The 17,791-nt window shown below is 49.3% G+C and overlaps 1 protein-coding gene across 10 annotated transcripts in view, besides 2 other annotated features; it reads left to right on the forward strand.

Annotated features, from left to right (window-relative positions):
- Positions 1-17,791, forward strand: part of MSI2 (musashi RNA binding protein 2) — a 445,731-nt gene that overhangs the window by 398,519 nt on the left and 29,421 nt on the right. The window contains exon 12 of one of the 10 annotated variants that reach the window (XM_017024148.2): positions 1,326-15,559. The exons of the other annotated variants lie outside the window; for them this stretch is intronic. Coding sequence (XP_016879637.1) covers positions 1,326-1,423 — 98 coding nt within the window. The 3' untranslated portion in view covers positions 1,424-15,559. Of the gene's footprint in view, positions 1-1,325; positions 15,560-17,791 lie in introns of those variants that run through there. 10 annotated transcript variants of the gene reach the window in all.
- Positions 8,593-8,885: a silencer, noted in NCBI's record as "fragment chr17:55740323-55740615 (GRCh37/hg19 assembly coordinates)". NCBI's record gives its function as "represses an EF-1alpha promoter that drives an FKBP-Casp9 reporter gene in an ReSE screen in HepG2 liver carcinoma cells {active_cell/tissue: HepG2}" and the evidence as "EXISTENCE:reporter gene assay evidence [ECO:0000049][PMID:32094911]".
- Positions 10,064-10,670: an enhancer, noted in NCBI's record as "H3K4me1 hESC enhancer chr17:55741794-55742400 (GRCh37/hg19 assembly coordinates)". NCBI's record gives its function as "activates a minimal SCP1, AML or CMV promoter by ChIP-STARR-seq in naive H9 embryonic stem cells {active_cell/tissue: H9 hESC(naive)}" and the evidence as "EXISTENCE:reporter gene assay evidence [ECO:0000049][PMID:30033119]".

The following is a 17,791-nucleotide window of genomic DNA, read 5'->3' on the forward strand; positions in this document are numbered from 1 at the left end:
GCGTTCTGCCTTTCTTTCTTTTAACGCATTCTGCCAGTAAGGGGACTGTCACCTCACTCCTTCTAGAAAATGATCGGGAAGCCAAGCCTGATGGGATGGCCAATTATTTACCTGTGGGTGGCCTCTCCGTGGCAAAAGCTCTTTGCTCTGAATTTCGAAGACCACAAAGACTCACTTGGGTGTGTGCATCAGTCTAGGCCACAGAGGGCTCACTGGGTGTTGATGGCCTAGTTTCACCTTCCCCAGCTCCTGAAGCCCTTACTCACCCCAGCTCCTCCCCAGGATGCTCCTGCAGCCTCAACTACTGCAGGTCAGCATGAACTCAACTGCATTCCCTTATAGGGAGACACAGGGAGACATTCAGGGAGAGTCTGTTGAGTACCTACCTTGAACCTGGTACCATGCTAAACCTGGCAGGCAACTCCAAACAGTAGAAAACGTGGCCTCTGCTCCCCAGGGGCTCTCAGGCTTCATTTAGGGATCAGACATCATCCTATGGACGGCCCTTTTTTTGTCTTTGATTTTTGTCTAGCTCCAACGTTTGGGTTTTTTTTTTTTTTTTTCCTTCCATTATGACTTATAGGGGAAGCTTCCTGAAGTGAGAAGCACTTGCTGAGGGCCGTGGGGTGGGAGGCAGCTTCGTTTTTGCTCAGGGTGGCAACTTGGATCCATCAGGGCTATGGTGTCAGGGTAGGAGGTCTGGGGGGGCCTTGAGGTCTGTGCCCACCTCAGCCAACTCCTCTGGGCCAGCCTGCCCACCTGTTCCTAATTCCCCTAGGACCTGAGGTGAGCAGGGCTCAGGGGACCCCACCAGGTGAGGTCCCTGCCGACTCCTAGATAACTTCACTATCAGTGGTCACTTTTCTTTTCCCTTCACCTGGTAGTTTGAAATGTCATCTTTTCTTGTGCTCAGTCGAGAGTTTGTTTGTTTATTTTGATCGTATTCATTCAGTTCCAGTGGCCCCATCATGTCCCACCCAAACCTAAATTCAGTTTGACAGAAGCCTCCCCCGACAGGTGAGGGAAGTGGTTTGGATATTCAGGGTATTTTAGTTTGGGGTGACATTATGGGTGGGTCCGTGTATCAATCTTAGAGCTTCTGAGCCCCTGGTACCACCCCGTCCCACCTCTCCCCACCCACCCGGCCCCAGCCAGGACCCCTTACTGTACTTTATACTTGCCAGCTTTATTCCAATCTAGTAACATGAGCTCCTGATGGTGGTGGTGAGTGTGAGCAGTCATATTTCTGTTGTCTTTTCTCTTGCTTGGTTGGGGCTGCGGTGAGAGTGTCTCTGAGGCATACTTTCCCGCCTCTCTTACGCTAGGATCTGCACACCTCCTCTCAAACACTCTTCTGAGCACGCTCAGCGGGAAGGTTTGTCCACACCTATTAATCCTCTCTCAGTGTCCAGCTTCCTGTTAGTACCAGCTGGTTTGCATGTTTTTGCTTGTTCAGATGAAACAGTTCAAGAAACAAACTCATATCCAACTCTCAAGAAATGTCTTTTTTTGTACACTTTCGTTTTTGATTTTTTTTATTAGTTACAACTCCAAAACACCTGTTGTCCAGTAAAACATTTCACACCTCCCCTGCCTGTTCTTAGATTGTATGTATCTGTGGGACTGAACTAAATGCATGCACCGTAGTAGATGTACTGGTAGCCGTAGCTGTAGTTGTAGTACATGCATTGTTGAGTTGATATTACAGGGTCTTTGACGGCTCGGCACAGCACGGCCGTCTGAAGGATAGTGCGGGGACCAGGAAGAGAAGGGGCTCCATATTTTCAATGTTTCCAAGGGGCTTGGATCCATGTTCTCACCATCAGCCACCACCACCTCCCCTCACACTCCCCGTTCCCCCAGTCCAGAACTGGGTCACCACCCTCAGCTCTAGCCTTCCTCACTGAGGTCTCTGTTGATATCGTCCAATTATAGTGCAAAAATGGAGCCAGGATTGGAAGGAGTCTTAAAGGTCTTCCTTGTTCTTGTCTTTCTCATACTATTCTTGAACAGAGCAGATCTTTTTTTATTTCTTAAGGCCTACCAGCAAGACTCCTTCAAGCCCTTCTACTCCTTGAGTCCTTTGGCAGGTCACAGCCAGCCCTTCAGGGATACGGGTCTATGTGGCAGTCCTGTCTATATGGATTACTTCTTGGGGTGGAGGGGAAATGAGACATGGTAAGGAAGGGATTGAGATCTTGAGATCCTTGGTCTGCAGACAGGGAATGCACTTGGCCCTAGTGAATCATTGCTATTTGTTCTTAGGGTTGGTGAAGGTTAAGTAGGGTGAGAGTGGTGACATTCTTAGCATGGAGGTGACTGGCACAGTTTCGTGGAGACAGAAAGGGAGGTCGGCTTGGAACATCCAAGAGGAACCACCCCTAGTTTCCTCCAGTTCCCCAGGAAGGCTCCCTAGAGGGGAAAGGAGCAGTCCTGCAGCCTGTGCCCTTAGAACAGGAGCACGTGCTGCCAGTCATCTTTGGACATGCCATCTTCCCTACATTTGTGGTGACAAGCCATAAGGGAGTGCCAGAGGTCTCTCAGAGCTTCTGGAGGTGTCCCTACTCTTTACGTGTTGATGCTGAGTGAGTAGTGCCTGCCTCCTGGAACCTGCTCTTTAAGTCAGGATGTGGTGGCTCTGCCCAGTGCTGCAAGAACATTGATGGAACACAGGTGGGATCTGAACCTTCAGGGTGCAAGTTATCTACTGTGGGAGACAGAAGCCCAGGAAAACGTCGGAGTCCATAAAGTCCCCTGAGAGAATGCGTAGAGATAGAGCAAAATGGTAGCGCTGTGGAAAGAATGTACCATGCTGTGGAAATTGGTGGCAGAATCGGAATGAACAAGGATTGAATGTGAGTAAGGCCAGTCTGCCACCAAACAGGATGAGGGTGCCAAGGCCCAGGAAGATAAATCTGGAAGGAGCTGTTCTTCTAGCTTGGCCTGCATGGGGGTGCGGGTGAGGGAGGTACACAGGGAGATGGCTGGAACTGTCAGGCTTCAGGGCTGCTGAAGCTGCAAATTGGCCCGAGGCTGGGGAGTAAGAGAAGAGGGTAGGGACAGAAGGCAGAGAGAGCAGAAAATCCCCTCCCACTGGCCTAAATCCCAGGTCTGGTTCTGCTAGGAAAATGGCTTTGCTGCCCTGTGGCTGGAAATTCTAAGAGCTCCAGTTCCAGTTGGTAAAATGAGCAAAAGTAAAATGCAAGTCAGGGGATGGAATAAATAGTTTAACTTGAACCAGAAGAGAAAATGCTTTAGGGAGGAGAATAGATCTCAAGAAGTAGATATGCCCATCCCAATCCCCCTTCAAGATGTTTTCTGTGTCCCCACTGCTAGCCTCTGCCTTATATATGTTAGGGGCTGGGGGACATGAAAGATAGTGTCCCACATACACTCTTCCACTTGCTGGAGGGATCCTGGAGCTATTTGGGTCAGTTGTACCATAAGCTTTAGGGTTCCCAGGTATTGCTTTCAACATGTATTTATTAAGGATTTGTTTTGTACCAAGCACCAAGGAATATAAAGGCAGATGGCATTTCTAGCCTTCAGTGGCCTGAGACTCTGGTCCTGTCCTCTGAAAGTCCGTGTTTCCCACAATGCACTGTTTCTGGCCTCAGAATGACCACTGTCAGCTTCATTTAAAAAAGGAAAATGGATCAATGTGTGCCTTCATTTCTGAAGATGGCTTTCCTGTGCTTCATGAGCAAGATCTGATGGGGGGCGGAGCGGGGGATGCAGTGCCTCCATCTCTGCTTCCTCACCCAGCCTCCTGTGCTAGCAGCAAGCATCCTCTGGGGGCTGTGGACCCAAGATGGTCCATTTGTGGGTAAGGTCATGGGGACACCCTTGTGCTAAGACAAAGCCACATCTGTGGCCATAGAATACAGCCAGTAGTGGCCCAGGGGGAGAACAAATCTCTGACCCACTAGGGCCAGCCACCACAACCAGACTTACCAAAGGATCTTACCTGAACACACATCTCTCAGTCTACTGCCATGTGTTCTGGGGATGGATACCTCGTTTCCCAGTTTGTCATTAAAATGTTCATTTCTGGGAGAGCCAGGACTTTCACCATAAAGAGTCCAGCATTGGATTTCAGTAACCCCAGTGAATTTATAATAATGCTGACAGCTGCCCGCTGCTGACCTCAGCTTCATTCATTTTCCAAGGGCTTTCAGACCAAACCTGTTGAGGATAAAATACATCAGCTCTAATCAATAATTTTGTAATAGAAATACTGTGCACTTGATAAATCAACTCTAGTGCAATTAGTGACTAGCCTTGAAGCCCAGACCTAAGTATAAGTTAATCCTAAAGTGAATGGAGTGGGGGAATGTTAATGGTCTTTCAAATCAGTGGAATTATTTTCAGTGGTTGACACATCTCTGCCTGCCCCCTGAGCTGGTTGGTCGTTGCTCTTGTGTGGGCTCAGGAGCTCAGGCCCAGCTGTCTGGAGCAGGGGTGGAAAGTGTGGTGGTGTCCTTCATAGCTCCATAAGGGCGCGCAGAGCACAACAGAGAGGGGTCTAGAGACCCGCTCCTTGCACCCTGGGCTGGGTGGGGGCACTGCAGGGTCTAGGAGGCCCCTAAAGCTGATCAACCTGCAGGTTGGTGAGAACCATCCAAGGAGCATGTGCCCGGGTGTATCATTCATGGTTGCTTGTGTTTTGCAGAGGTTTTTTTTTTATTTGGTTGGTTGGTTGGTTGGTTGGTTTGTTGTTGTTGTTTTGAGACAGACTCTCACATGTTGCCCAGGCTGGAATGAAGTGCAGTCTTGAACTCCTGAGCTCAAGTGAACCTCTTTCCTCAGCCTCCCAAGTAGTTGGAAATGTAGGTTCATACTACCATGCCCGGCTTTGGTTTTTTTGTGTGTTTTTTGTTTTTTCTTTTTTTGTTTGTTTGTTTTTGGTAGAGACAGGGTCTCACTATATTGCTCAAGCTGGTCTCAAACTCCTGGCCTGAAATGATCCTCCTACCTTGACCTCCCAAAACACTGGAATTACAGGTGTGAGCCACTGTGCCTGGCCTCTGCAGAGTTTTGACTTTCAGATATACACCGTGATGTATATTACCATAGCCACCCTGGGAGACGGTCAGGAAGGCAGAAGTTTGTGGCCTGGTTTACAAGCATGTTTTTGTTTTGTTTTTGTGAGAAAGCTGGGCTACAGAATGGCCATGTGACTTATTTAAAATCACACACCTGGTTACCGGAGAGCAAGGCTTTGGTTAAAGGTGAAGAACCCTGGACTTGAACCCAGGTCTCTGGCCTCCTTAAGTAGCCCTCTGGAGAAGCCGTGTTTTTTATGAGGGACACACCTGCCCCCCAGGACACCGGGCACAAGCAGGAATAAAGACCATGTAGGAAAAATAATAAAATAAAATAAAAGCCCATGTAGGGACAGCCCAAGTAGCCTCAGCTTCTAGCTCTATATAGGCCAAGCGCTCAGTCTCTGGCCTAAAACCTCATAGTCTGATCTTTCAGATGTAGATTTCAGAACTGGACCTACGGGACATCTGCCATGGAGTTGAATGTGGCAGATATTTATTAAGTATATAACAATAGTAATTATTGTTATATGTGGTAGGTACTGTCCTAAGCCTGATTCAAGGGTGCTTTTGACTGTATCAGAAACCTCCCAACTCTGATTAAACACTATAGGTTAATGTTACAGGGAATTAAATATTATGGGGGATTTATTGGCTGACATCCTGGAAGCTCCATAGAAGAGTGGGCTTCGTGCCTGGCTTGTTCAGGGATCCTTTTTCTGCAATTCTCTTAGCTTCGCCCTCCTTCTCATTTCAATACTGTCTTTATATTGGTTTTCCTCATGGTGGCAAAATGATTGCAGCAGTTTCTGGCATCATACCGTCCTGTCCAGAAGAGGGGAGTCAGATGGTCTGGAATGCTAGGAAGAGTCCAGAGCTTTGTGCTGCTTGGCTAAGGCTGGGGTTACAAAACCAGTCACTGAGGGTGGGATCCACCCCCTCTAAACCGAATGGCTCTTTACACGGTGGTGTAAGGATGGGTTCCCAAAGGAAAACCTGCATGCTGATAAGAGGGGAAAAGGAAGAATGATGCCAGAGAGACAACCAGTGGATGCCCACCACAGCCCTGGAAGTTCCTGGAAGTTCATGGATAAATACTAAGCAGTCTCCACGCCATTGAAGATCTCCCAACCTAGTGTGGAAACTAATGGGTAATTACAATAGGATGCCATAAGCCCGGTAACATAAGCCTATCCAATGAACAGAAGTAGCACAGAGGAGGAAGTGATCAGCTTTGTCTGGGAAGTCAGGGAATGTTTCACAGGGGAGTGAATATTTCCACTTTTAAAGGACAAATAGGAGCTCCCCAGGGGGCCGGGGAACATCATGGGCAAAGCCACCAGACCTCGGGACAATGGAGTGAGGTGGAGGCCCTGCTTTATTCTGGCTGGAGAATAAAATGCAACAGGGGAGTAACTGTAGGTAAAGCCAGAGAGCTGGGCAGAATCAGAGCAGGGGACCCTTGGTACTACGCTAAGGAGACTGGATTTACATGGGCAGGGCCTGTGAGATCATGGGAGGCCTGAAACTAGGAACTGACATCAGATTTGTATGTTAGACAAGCTTTGACAACATTGTCCAGGATGGATTCAAGACGCAGGACTGAGGTGGGAGGACAAGTTACAGATAATTCGTGTACATTGTAAACACTCCATAGATGTTAGTATATAGCTGCTCAAGAAGCAGTAGGCCTTTTGCTCTTATCCATAAGACGATTAACTCTGGACTCAACATCATGCTAGGGGCTGGGGTGGGCTGCAGAATAAGTCCATGGCATGGTCCTTGCCTTTAGCCGACTTCCAGTCCTCTGGGGAGGACAAAAGTACACAACCGATGTGAGAGCTAGCCTTTAATAAGGATAGATTCCTACAAGGTCAGAGAGTACCCAGAAGGCAGGAAGCTTAGTGGAGGAGGCAAGACATGACACAGGGCCTGGAGAATTTGGAGTGGGAAGCTGTCTGCTAGGCAGGGAATATGGGCTTGAAGAGATAGAGACAGTCAAGGTTCTGGGAGATCTTGAAAGCCATGTTGATATAGTCACAGGAGAGGGAGGTTCGTATTCTTCATGCAAGTGGCGCTCAGTAAGGACAGAACCATCTAAAGAAGATAAGCCTGGCTGTAGCTCCACAAAGAACAGCCTGACCCCTAATCCTGGGGTCTGGGGCTGGGGCTGGGCTCGTGACCTGGAGCAAGGGGTGTGGAGTGAGAGGCATTGAGAAAGCAGACACAGGAGGGCATTCCATGGCAAATCTCTGCCTTAGTTCCCTTAACTTTCCTTTGCTTCTGCCAACAAGTTGTTATTTATTCCCTGCTTGGGGCTATTGTTTCCCATTCCTTTGCCCTTGAGGTGGCCACTGTCCCCTTTCTTTCTGCCACTCCATTTCCCTCTGTCCTTGTCTTTGCCCTCTCTGTCAAAATTTGGCTCAAAGTGCCAGAAAGCCATACCTGATTCACCCTACCTGGGGCACCCCCTCCTTTGCCCATGTCCTCAGTCCTCTTCCTCATGGGTGAGCTCTCCTGAATGAAAGGTGAGATTATGGGTCCTTGGAAGATATTTTGCATGTGTCTGCGGGTGGCACCTGCTTTCCCCAACAATACAAACCATCAGGCCTCCCGGCGGCAAAGTCAGCCTAGTCCTCATTCTTCATATGGATAAGTAATTACTATGCAATTAGAAAACACAGAAAATGAAGGGGCCCTTTGTTCCTGGTTGCTTATTAATATTAATTTTTTTAAAAAGGTCTCCCTTCCCAGCTTGGGATCCTACAGAACAGGAAGCAGACAAATAATGCCTTTGAACAGCTGTGATGGGCTGTTGAAATTAGATCTGTCAGGGGATGAGAACACCACGATGGCAGCCACTCCGTGGTATAGGCTAAGAGGGTTCCAGGGGAAGGTATCTTGTAAGTGGTCAATAGAATGCTAGAGACACATCCTAGTCAATTTGAATACAATAATGATAATAGATGTTAATAATAATAGCTCACATGTATTATGAGTGAGCCAAGTACCATGTCAAGCCCACCTGCCTTATCCCATTAAATTCTCATAACCCTATGAAGTGAGCACTGTCATTCTCATTCCCATTTTAAAGATTTAAAAACTGTAGTTTGGAAAGGATAGTAGCTTATCTGAAGTGGCAGAGACAGGATTTGAGCCTAAGCCTGTCGTCATTCTGTCCTCTAAGCCACTGTCAGCGGACGCTCCATCGTACCAGCCCTGGGATGGCTGAGCCAGGCTCTGCAACCTTAAAACAGACACTCAAGAAAAAACCACAGCTGCTCTTAACTAAATTCTCCATTATCCTTGGGGGAGGAGATAACCCCAAATCATTTACGAGTGGCCTCAGGAGGCGGTATAAGTATTTTTTGCACCTGCTCCTGCTGTTGCAGACACTGCCTGGCTTTGGCTGACAGGTTTCTGGTCCCTGAATGCACTCAGACCAATGTCAGACAAAGGAGGCCGGGAGGAGGCGTGGTCGTGTAAGAGGAAGCCAGCCTGAAGAGAATTATTGGAAGGGAACCTTTAGCTGAAACAAGGCTGAGGGAAGTTAGCCAATGCCCAGAAGAAACTAGGCGATGGAGCACGGGCGGGCTTCTCTGGGAAGACAGACGTCCTCTGTAGGGATGAGTCAACATTTTTTCCTGTGGGCTGCGAGGACCGCTTCTGGAAGGTCGCTGGGAAGCCCCGCCCGGCCTTAGGGCTGGGAGGGGATTGGCTGCCCAGTTGCTGGGGCTTTGCTCTGAGCCAGTGGCGGGGTGGAGGGGCGGGGCCAAGGCGGGAGCAGCGGGCTTCTTGGCCAATCATCCTGCAGGGAGGCTGGGCACCCGGTACCATGGCAACCGCGAGCAGGGCCTCATTTGTTTTGTAGATGAGTAATTACTACACAATTAGAGAAAGCTAAAAATAAAGGGGCCCTTTGTTCCTGGTTACTTATTAATATTAATAAAATGGTCTGCCCAGGTCTGTGGTAAACATTTGATGCCTGCGTGCCTGTGGCAGAGGCTTGTGTAGCCGGGAAAGGCACCCCAGCCCCGCTCGCCCCTCTTTCGGGAAGTTATTTCTGACTATATCCTGGAGAGGGTGGGCTTCTGACCTTGGGGAGAAGAGGAGAGGCTCAGTGTGACAGACATAGGATCCAGGATGTCCTGGAGTCCGGGTCCGTCACTGACTCAGGTGGAAAGGTGGCGGCAGCGTCACCATCCTTCAGAGAAAAGACAGACACACAGCAGCAAAGCAGACACTATGGACCGGTGTCAGAGGAAACCCCTAGTCCAGTTTTGCTGTGTCCTTCTGTGTTTTCTGGCTTTTGATTGATCAGCTCCAGGTGTGTAAAATAGTCGTTAAGTCTTCAATGGAGGTAGCCCCCAAGACTCCAGTGACTCCCCTCCCATCTGGCTTAAAGGGCACATTCCGTTCAGGCTTGGAAATGATCTGCTGGAGGTTTACACTGTGTTCAGGGTTGTCCCCGTGGCTCCCCATGCCCTGGCCTTCGAAGTTAAAGCAGCTGAGAGGCTTGCTTTCTATTCCTTCTCCCTCCTAGGGGGAGAGGTTGCCTTGTTGATTACTCCAGTGAGGATGATTAACAGCTTAAAAAAAAAAATAGAGGCAGCATAAGAGCATAGAAGGCAGAGTAGGGAATCAGAAGACTTGGTTCCAGGCCTGCTTCCACCTCTACTAAACGAGGAATTCAGACTAAAGGGTCCTTGGGAGCCATTTCAGCTCTACAGCTCTGTTTTGCTGCTGTTTCCAAAGCTGGAAATCCCTTTTCCTTGGAGATAGGAACAGGGACAGTGACAGTGCCTTAAGATCTGAGAGAACAGGCCGGGCACGGTGACTCACGCCTGTAATCCCAGCACTTTGGGAGGCCGAGGCGGCTGATCACTTGAGGCCAGGAGTTTGAGACCAGCCTGGCCAACATGGTGAAACCCCATCTCTACTAAAAATACAAAAATCAGCCAGGTGTGGCGGTGTGTGCCTGTAGTCTCAGCTACTGGGGAGACTGAGGCAGGAGAATTACTTGAACCCGGGAGGCCCAGGTTGCAGTGAGCTGAGAGTGCGCCACTGCACTCCAGCCTGGGTGACATAGCAAGACTCCCTCTCAAAAAAGGGGAAAAAAAAAGAAAAAAGATCTGAGAGAAGTGAGTGGAGAGAAAGCCAAGAGGTTCCAGGTGATAGGAAACTTCGTGGGAATTTGAAAACAGCCATGAATTGTTTAATGCATGAAGGCAATGGGAGGGACAGAAGCGGTTCCAGAACTGTGTATCATTTTACACATCTGTCCTCAGACTTCCATCCTTGGGTGTGGTTGATTAAATCTCTTAGGGTTTGATTCTGTGTGGATGGTATTCATGAATAATAGTGGACCTGTTAATAGCTGCTGTCAATGAGCAAATCAACCCAGAGATTGTGGCCAGTTCAGTGGCTCTTGAACTTTGCTGCTGTTCCTAATAGGAACTTTGATCCTGTTAGGATCACCTGGGGAGTTTTTAAACTGTGCAGTGGCCAGGCTGCATCACAGACCCATCAAACCAGAATCTAGCAGGGTGAGCCTCAGGCAGGCCCAGTGTGTAACACGGGGCTCAAGTATCATCATGTTCTTGCTGGATGTAAAGCTCCATAACATCTTTGTGGCTGTCACTGGTACCCCAGCCTCCTCTAACTGGGAGGTGGGGAGGTGGGGCTGGGATCTCTAGCCTGCTGCTGTGGAGCCCACGGCTCTCCAGCCTCCATTAGTCTTCCCAGCAGGGTCAGGAAGGCCACCCTCCAGGGTGGACCAAGGGGTTTTTGTCCTCATAGAGGGACCCTCCTGTCTCTCTCGAGGACAGGCCAGTCCTGGCTGAGATTAAGGGCATGTACCAGTAGAACTAGCAGCCTGCAGCAACTGTAAACAGAGAAGCAGCCGCCCTCCTTGACTGACCAATGGGAGCCTTTTGGTAAGGTCGGAGTTTGTTTGTTATTAAAGACCTAATTAGAAACATGAGAGGGAGCTGAATGGCTCTGTGCTTGGCTAATTAGTGACATGTATGCGCCTGCTTTGAACTTCAAGGACACAGAACTATTAGTGCTTACATCAAAAATGGATTAAACTCCTGTGCTTTTATAATTATTAAAAAGGAGCTACTCAAGTGGAAAGTCTTTTGTGTGGGTCCTCAAGGGGCTGCCCCTGGGATAACTTCCCCACCCCACCCTGCCCCCTGCCTGCTAGAGCCCCAGCAGTGAGTTTTCTATTAGATATGATTGGGCAGTAAATACCGTTCAGCCCTAGGGTGTGCCAGCTCCCAAAAGGACTTGGCTCTCAGCAGAATGGAGTGGTCTTTTAGGACTGAGATCAGCTCTCTGGGTGGCCCCCTGGGTCCAGGCACTTTCCTGGGGTGGGGGAGGGGAGTTCTAGCGAGGGCCCAGGGTTAACCAGGGCTTACTTTCCCTCTGGCAGTGCCCTCTCTGCTTCCACGCTGACCCCACCAGTACTGCAAGTCTGCTTATTCTTTGGGCTGTGGCGTAGTGGAGGGTGGCCTAGTCCTCAGGAGAGAGGCAGTCCTGTATCTCTTGGGGCAGTCAGATCCTGACCTCAGGGAACCCCCACCGTGATGGAAGAGATGTTTCCACTGCCAGGGAGCTCCCAATTTGGAAAGGCAACAGGGTCCAAGCCCTTAGGAGCTTCTACTCCAAGGCTGGAGAATCTATTCTGTGTCCTTGAATTTGCAGTTTCTCTGGGGCAAAGAAAGATCCAAGTAAACAGAGGAAACCTTGTCAAAGTGTGATTCCAGAAGGGACAACTGAGCAGCATGATTTAAAAAGCATGTGCCTTCAAGTTAGAGCCAGATTTGGTCCTGTCTGAGACACTGTGTGGCATTGGACACATTTCCTAGCTGTTCAAACCCTTGGTCTTCTTATCTGTAACAGGGGTTACACAGCTGCTCTTACAAGATGTTCGGAGCATGAAAAAAGATCGTGTGAAACACCTACCAACATGCCTGGCAACACAGTAGGGGCTCATAAGTATGAGTTCCCTTTCCAGCCTCACACCTGCAGAAGCTACAGCTTCTAGAACTTTGTGCTTCTTGCCTCATTGGTTTTCACCTCCAGGCCCTGTTTTGTCCCTACCAGTATCAGGCCTAACAGGGGCAGAGTGATATCTAATTCTTACATAGCTTTTCATCATGATTGAGAAGACTACATTAGGCTGCCTCGTAAGTCTGTGGTCCCAGCCTTGGATTTCACAGTGTTTTCTTTTAGCAGCAGTCTGTCATGCAGAAACTGGGCCTGCAGTGAGTGCAATCACTTATAAGACACAAGCAAGGATCTGAGCCTCCTGGCAGGTAGCAGGCAGGGAGGTAGCTTTCAGGTTGGGAATTGGTGCCTGAGCACACCACAGAGCAGCAACATGAGAGGGTGGCTGGCGACATGTGGGGAAAAGCCAAACTGACTTCTTTTTTGAAAAAAAGAGACGAGTGTGCTTCAAAGACAGAGGCAGTCAATGGATCAAAGCAAAGCAAGGGACATTTTCAGGACTGAACTAGGAGAAACTTGGAGCCACCAAACTGTAAGAGACAGTAGGGAGTTGTCTCCGGGCAGCAAGCTCCCTGTCTATTTCCTGTGGAGTCTCAGACCTGGGAGGGCTGGATGAGGAAGCAAAGGCTCTGGTATCACCCAACAGGGGCCACCTCTCTGCCTTTTCTCTGCTGAGTGGTGATGGTGGCATCTCGCCTCCCCAGGGCTGCGTGCCCAGCTGCTGGGTGGTTCAATGCAGCATGGCATGGGTGCTGCAGGTTCCGGGGAGCCTCCTTGTCTGTTATTCCTTGCAAATTCTAACCTGTGTGGGCCTGGAGTCTGAAGCCAATTAATTTAAGGAAGAGGCAGCAGGATGTTAGTGTTAAAACACCGCCTGCTTCAGCCAAACCATAAACATTTGTCTCCCGGGTTGGTTTTCCCTCCTCTTCTGAAGCGCTTTAGAGACTCAGGGTAAGGTGTTGTTGAAGCATCCGTTCACGGTGGAGAGGGATCAGGAACACCATCCTGCGTTTGAGACTCGAAGCCTGGTCTGGTGAAGCCTGGCAGATAGTTCACACAAGCAGGACAAGCCCCGTGCCAATGCCAGGCAGGAGTGATATCCAGTCACCGCACAGGGCCCCAGTGACTGCCTCATGGCCTTTCCCTTCCCGGGGCCCTCCGCACTTGCCTCCTGGAAACCTGCAAACAAGCCCAGTCCCTCAGGGCCCTTGGGGGTTGAGAGAAATGAGAACTGACCTCGGCTCCAGAAAGTTCTTTCCTTGGCCTCATGACAAAAGCCTGGTTTCTCTGGCCACAAGGCCACAGCCCATTCAAGGCTGCTCCATCCCCAGAATTTACACCATGAGCAGACAGCAGTCAACTGCTAACCACCATCCTCCCTCACCCACCTTCCCAACCCGCCAGTCCAGAACCCACCCAGCCTGGCCTTGGGGCTTGAGATACACTTACAGACTCAGATCAGGGCTGATAATAAAAACACACCAGGAGGGCCAGGCACAGTGGCTCAGGCCTGTAATCCCAGCACTTTGGGAGGCTGAGGCGGGTGGATCACCTGAGGTCAGGAGTTCGAGACCAACCTGGCCAACATGGTGAAACCCTGTCTCTACTAAAAATACAAAAATTAGCCAGATTTGATGCCGCACACCTGTAATCCCAGGTACTCAGAAGGCTGAGGCAGGAAAACCACTTGAACCCAGGAGGCAGAGGTTGCAGTGAGTCGAGATTACACCACTGCACTGTTGAGATTATATCTCAACAGCAAATGCATGGTCCTAGCCACAAAGCCTTTCTCAGGTCGGTTCTGGGTGTTTGGAACTTTTTCCTTACACCAATCCGAATGGTAGTGTGCTTCCCCAGCTTTACCACTGACATGTTATATGAGAGTTTTAGAACTGGCTAATAGTGATATTATCTCCTGAGGGTTTTGGGGGAGTGTGACTTGACCAGAAGCCAAGATCTTTCTACAAAATAATTCACAAGTGTTAAGTGCTAATGTCCATCAGTTCCCTACTTGAGACAGGCCAACATTAACCAGTAGACATTATCAGCACCAACCTCAGTGGTCTGAATCAGGTTAAGTTTTGAGAACAAGCAGAAACTACAACTTATCATAAGACTGGCGCCATTGTCACTGACATTTGGAATGTCTGTGTGATGCTGGCTGCCCTGTCAGCCCAGTGCATGCACAGACAACTCACCATGTGTCCCGTGCAGTGTGTAAGAGGAGCCAGGGGACTCCAGATACATCAAGACTAGCATGATGTTGACACCAGGCTGCGTTTGTACCTCTCAGTAATATATCTGTTTGTATATGCAGACAGTGAAAAAGAAATCCCATCACATTGCTCTCTTAATCCTCCCCCAGTTTTAAAGTATTTTCCCCCTTCCCTTCTGAAATAGCCTGAATTTCAGCAGAGCTTTAAAAACTACATTGTGTATAAAATTGATTGTCCCTGCATCTGGGTCCCTGAACTGATTTGATTTTAACTTAGCATGTCATACAATTTTCCCAGGTTGGACATCATTGCCGATCTTCTCTACCAGTCTCTCCTACCTCCAGGCTAAGCTCTAGAAGGAAAGCTTGAGCCAAGGATTGCTGGGACATAGCTGGCCGGGCAGACTCCTGAAGTATAATCCTACCTTGCTCTGCTCAAGACATGCCAATTCATAACCGAGTATTCTCCTTCCATTATCAGAAATAGATTTTGTCTTTTCATGCTGACCTTTCCCATTTGACCATCTGCAATTATTTACAGTGGGCACTGCTTTCAGAGGACACATGAAGGAAACTGCAGAATGGGGTCCCCAATTCTGTTCCCCAGGAAGGCCTTTGGCTGCCCAGTTGCTGAAATTCAGAGCCCTCCAGTAAAGAGTGGCTGGCTGTTCAGAGGGACTGATGCAGGCCCTCACTGTTGACAGCCAACTGGCATTGTGGACCCAGTGTCCACTGAGGAATGGCAGAAAGTTGCTCTTACTCTTTGGAGAATATGCCCTCTGACTAGGAACATAGAGTTCCCTGAGAGCCCTGAGAGTTCCCCAACTGCCTGGAGGAGTTTCTTGCTAATAGGGGAGACAGAGTCCTACGACTATGGAGTTTTAAATCAAGGCAGATATAAGCATGATATAGACAAGATGAAGGTAGAGGTGTGTGTTGGAGAGTGTGATAACTTTATTTAGTTTCTTTAAATTTCTCTGAAACAAAAACTCCTAAAATTCAGTGTGATGGATTAACACAGCCTCTGCCCTCATAGATTATCACACAGGCTATGACCTCTCCTGCTCTCAGTCCTCCGTCCTTTCGGGACTAGGGGTTGGGAATGGAGGCCGTGACACCAGTCAGCCCAAATCCCTTCTGAATTGGACTTGGCAAAGGTGGGCCCTCCATTGCATTTGCCTCCCCGAGCCACACGCACAGGCTGGGCAGGGAAGAGTCTCTCTCCCGGAAATGTACCAGGGGCCACTGCGGTCTTCTGCCTGAAATGAAACCTGGCAGCAGCAGATAATTCACAAAGCAGATGACTGAAATTGTCTTGAGGGCTGGCCCTGGCCTTTGCGGAAATGTGAGACCCACCACACCAGGAGCTGGGTCTAGGGCTGGAACTTGGTGGGCCCCTGGCTTGTTCCAAGTATGTGAACTGAGCTCATCTGGAAAAGATTTTGTAAACATTTGCTTTCTCTGAATCGGTAATAATTCAATTTTCAGGCCTTAGAGCCAGAGGTGCCCCCCTCATTGACCTGGCTCTAGCTTTTTGCCTCAGGTCCAGTGACATCACTTAGGGACAACACAGAAATTATTGGACTAGACTTCCATACCTTTTCTAGACCCACAGTGAGGCTGTTCTGACTACCACCACTTCCCTACCCTCCATGCCTAATTCCACTCTCAGCCCAGCCCCTTGTCACTGCAGTTGGGCAGAGCCACATGCTGGCCAGACAGCAGGCATCTCTCCCGTCTTGCTTTAGAACCCTAAGGGAAAGGTGCCCAGTAGCTTTGGGTCCAACCCTTACAGGTGAGAGTCTAAGCCTGCAGCATCTGTCTCTGTTAAGATCTCCAGGATAAGATTCTTGGGCTTTCCTAGGTCAGCCATCAGAGTATTTTATTGATGGGCAGGAAGTTTCTCCTTTTATCCAATGTGAAATACCACCAACTTTCATTCAAGTGCATCTCCTCTTGCCGTCCTCGGTGAGATCGGTGTCCTTGCTTTTCTGGTCCCCATTCCCAGGAGTCCTTTCTTCAGGCCCAAGATGATTAAATGCACCAAATGGATAAATTGGGTTTTTTGTCAATCACCTCCTGATTCATATGGCAAGTGAATTGCATTTTCCTATGTCAGATTTTCCTAAATCTGCATGTGGTACCTGCCTTATTGGCCTCTGCATACATAACTATTTCAGAAATAGGGTGTATTTGTTTTAAACTTGACAAGTTACAGAGCTCTGTCTCTTTTTCATTCTTGAAGCAGTCCCATGAGTCAGATTGAATAAGGAAAGCATCACTCACTTGCTACAGATGAGGACTTGGGCTTGTGAGTGGCTTCTTAGCCCAAGGCACCTGACTGTAAGAGCAGAGCTGGGGTCACAGTCAGGTCTTCTGCCTCTGAGTCCAGTACTCCCTTTCCTTACATCATTGCTGCCTCTCTGTGGGTGCCACCTTGACTGGGAAAGCCCAGAGGATATTGGAGAGTGAGGATGAGGGGCAAAGAGGAACCTGCCATGGATGCTGCTGATGAAATGAACCTGATCACCGCAATGAGCCCCCAAACTGCCATCCTAGAGCAGGGCTTGTCCCAAGCCACTTAATGCTCATAGCTCCTGCTGCAAAAATGCCAAGACGTTTGCAAGACGTTGTCCTCTTCTGGGACAGGAGTCATAATATCCAATTTATAAACCTCAGCACTGTTTATTTATTCAACAAAGTGTGCTCCCTGTCCCCGCCCCCTCACACGCACACCCTAGCTGAGCAGTAGACAAGGTGCCCTTGCCCACTAAGAGCCATGTCCCATCCTCTCTTCCCAAGCTGATCCTGGTATATGGGACCAATTCTGGCCCCCCAAAATAAGTCTCCGTGCCTGGGGAAAGGCACCGTTCGCTTAGAAGGATCACTGAGAATTGACTGGAGAATGACTTCCACAGAAAGCACCCTCAGGTGAGAGATTTGGCTTCATGCCTTCCCCCACCCCCCAACCCCACTCCCCACCTCTCCTCTTAGAGGGAGACGGGTTCTCAAATGACCCCCTTTCCTGCGTAGCCAGCCAGTGTTCAGTTTGTGGAGTTACGCTGAGTTTGCAAAAGAAGAAAATTGCTTTGTCCCTAATGCCTTCCCACTGTCAGACAGCAGGAACAGCTACTGACAAGTTTATGTGCCGAGTGGCAGTCCCCATTCTCTCCTAAGCAGCCAGAGCCGTTGCTTTTTATGAGTCTTCTCAAAGATGCATGGGTTTCCAGATGGCTCGTTCGGGGACTTTAACATGCTTTCTGGAGCCTGGTTCTTCTGCTCACAGAGACAGACAGAGAGAAGTGTCGACTGTGGAAAATAGAGGCTCCTCTCTTCCATGCGCCCAGCCCTCAGGGGTGCGGGTTCCACTGCCCAGAAGCCTAGCTAGAGGCGGGACCAGCCAGAACTGGGTGCTTATTGCCTGCTGGCTGCGCCCTCTAGTGGGGACCCAGCAGCCCTGTCTTTCACCCCTGGCTGGGGGACATCTGCAAGGTGACTTTGAGCTGAGGCTCCGGCA

This window comes from Homo sapiens, chromosome 17, assembly GCF_000001405.40.
Source record: "Homo sapiens chromosome 17, GRCh38.p14 Primary Assembly".
Classification (NCBI taxonomy): Eukaryota; Metazoa; Chordata; class Mammalia; order Primates; family Hominidae; genus Homo; species Homo sapiens.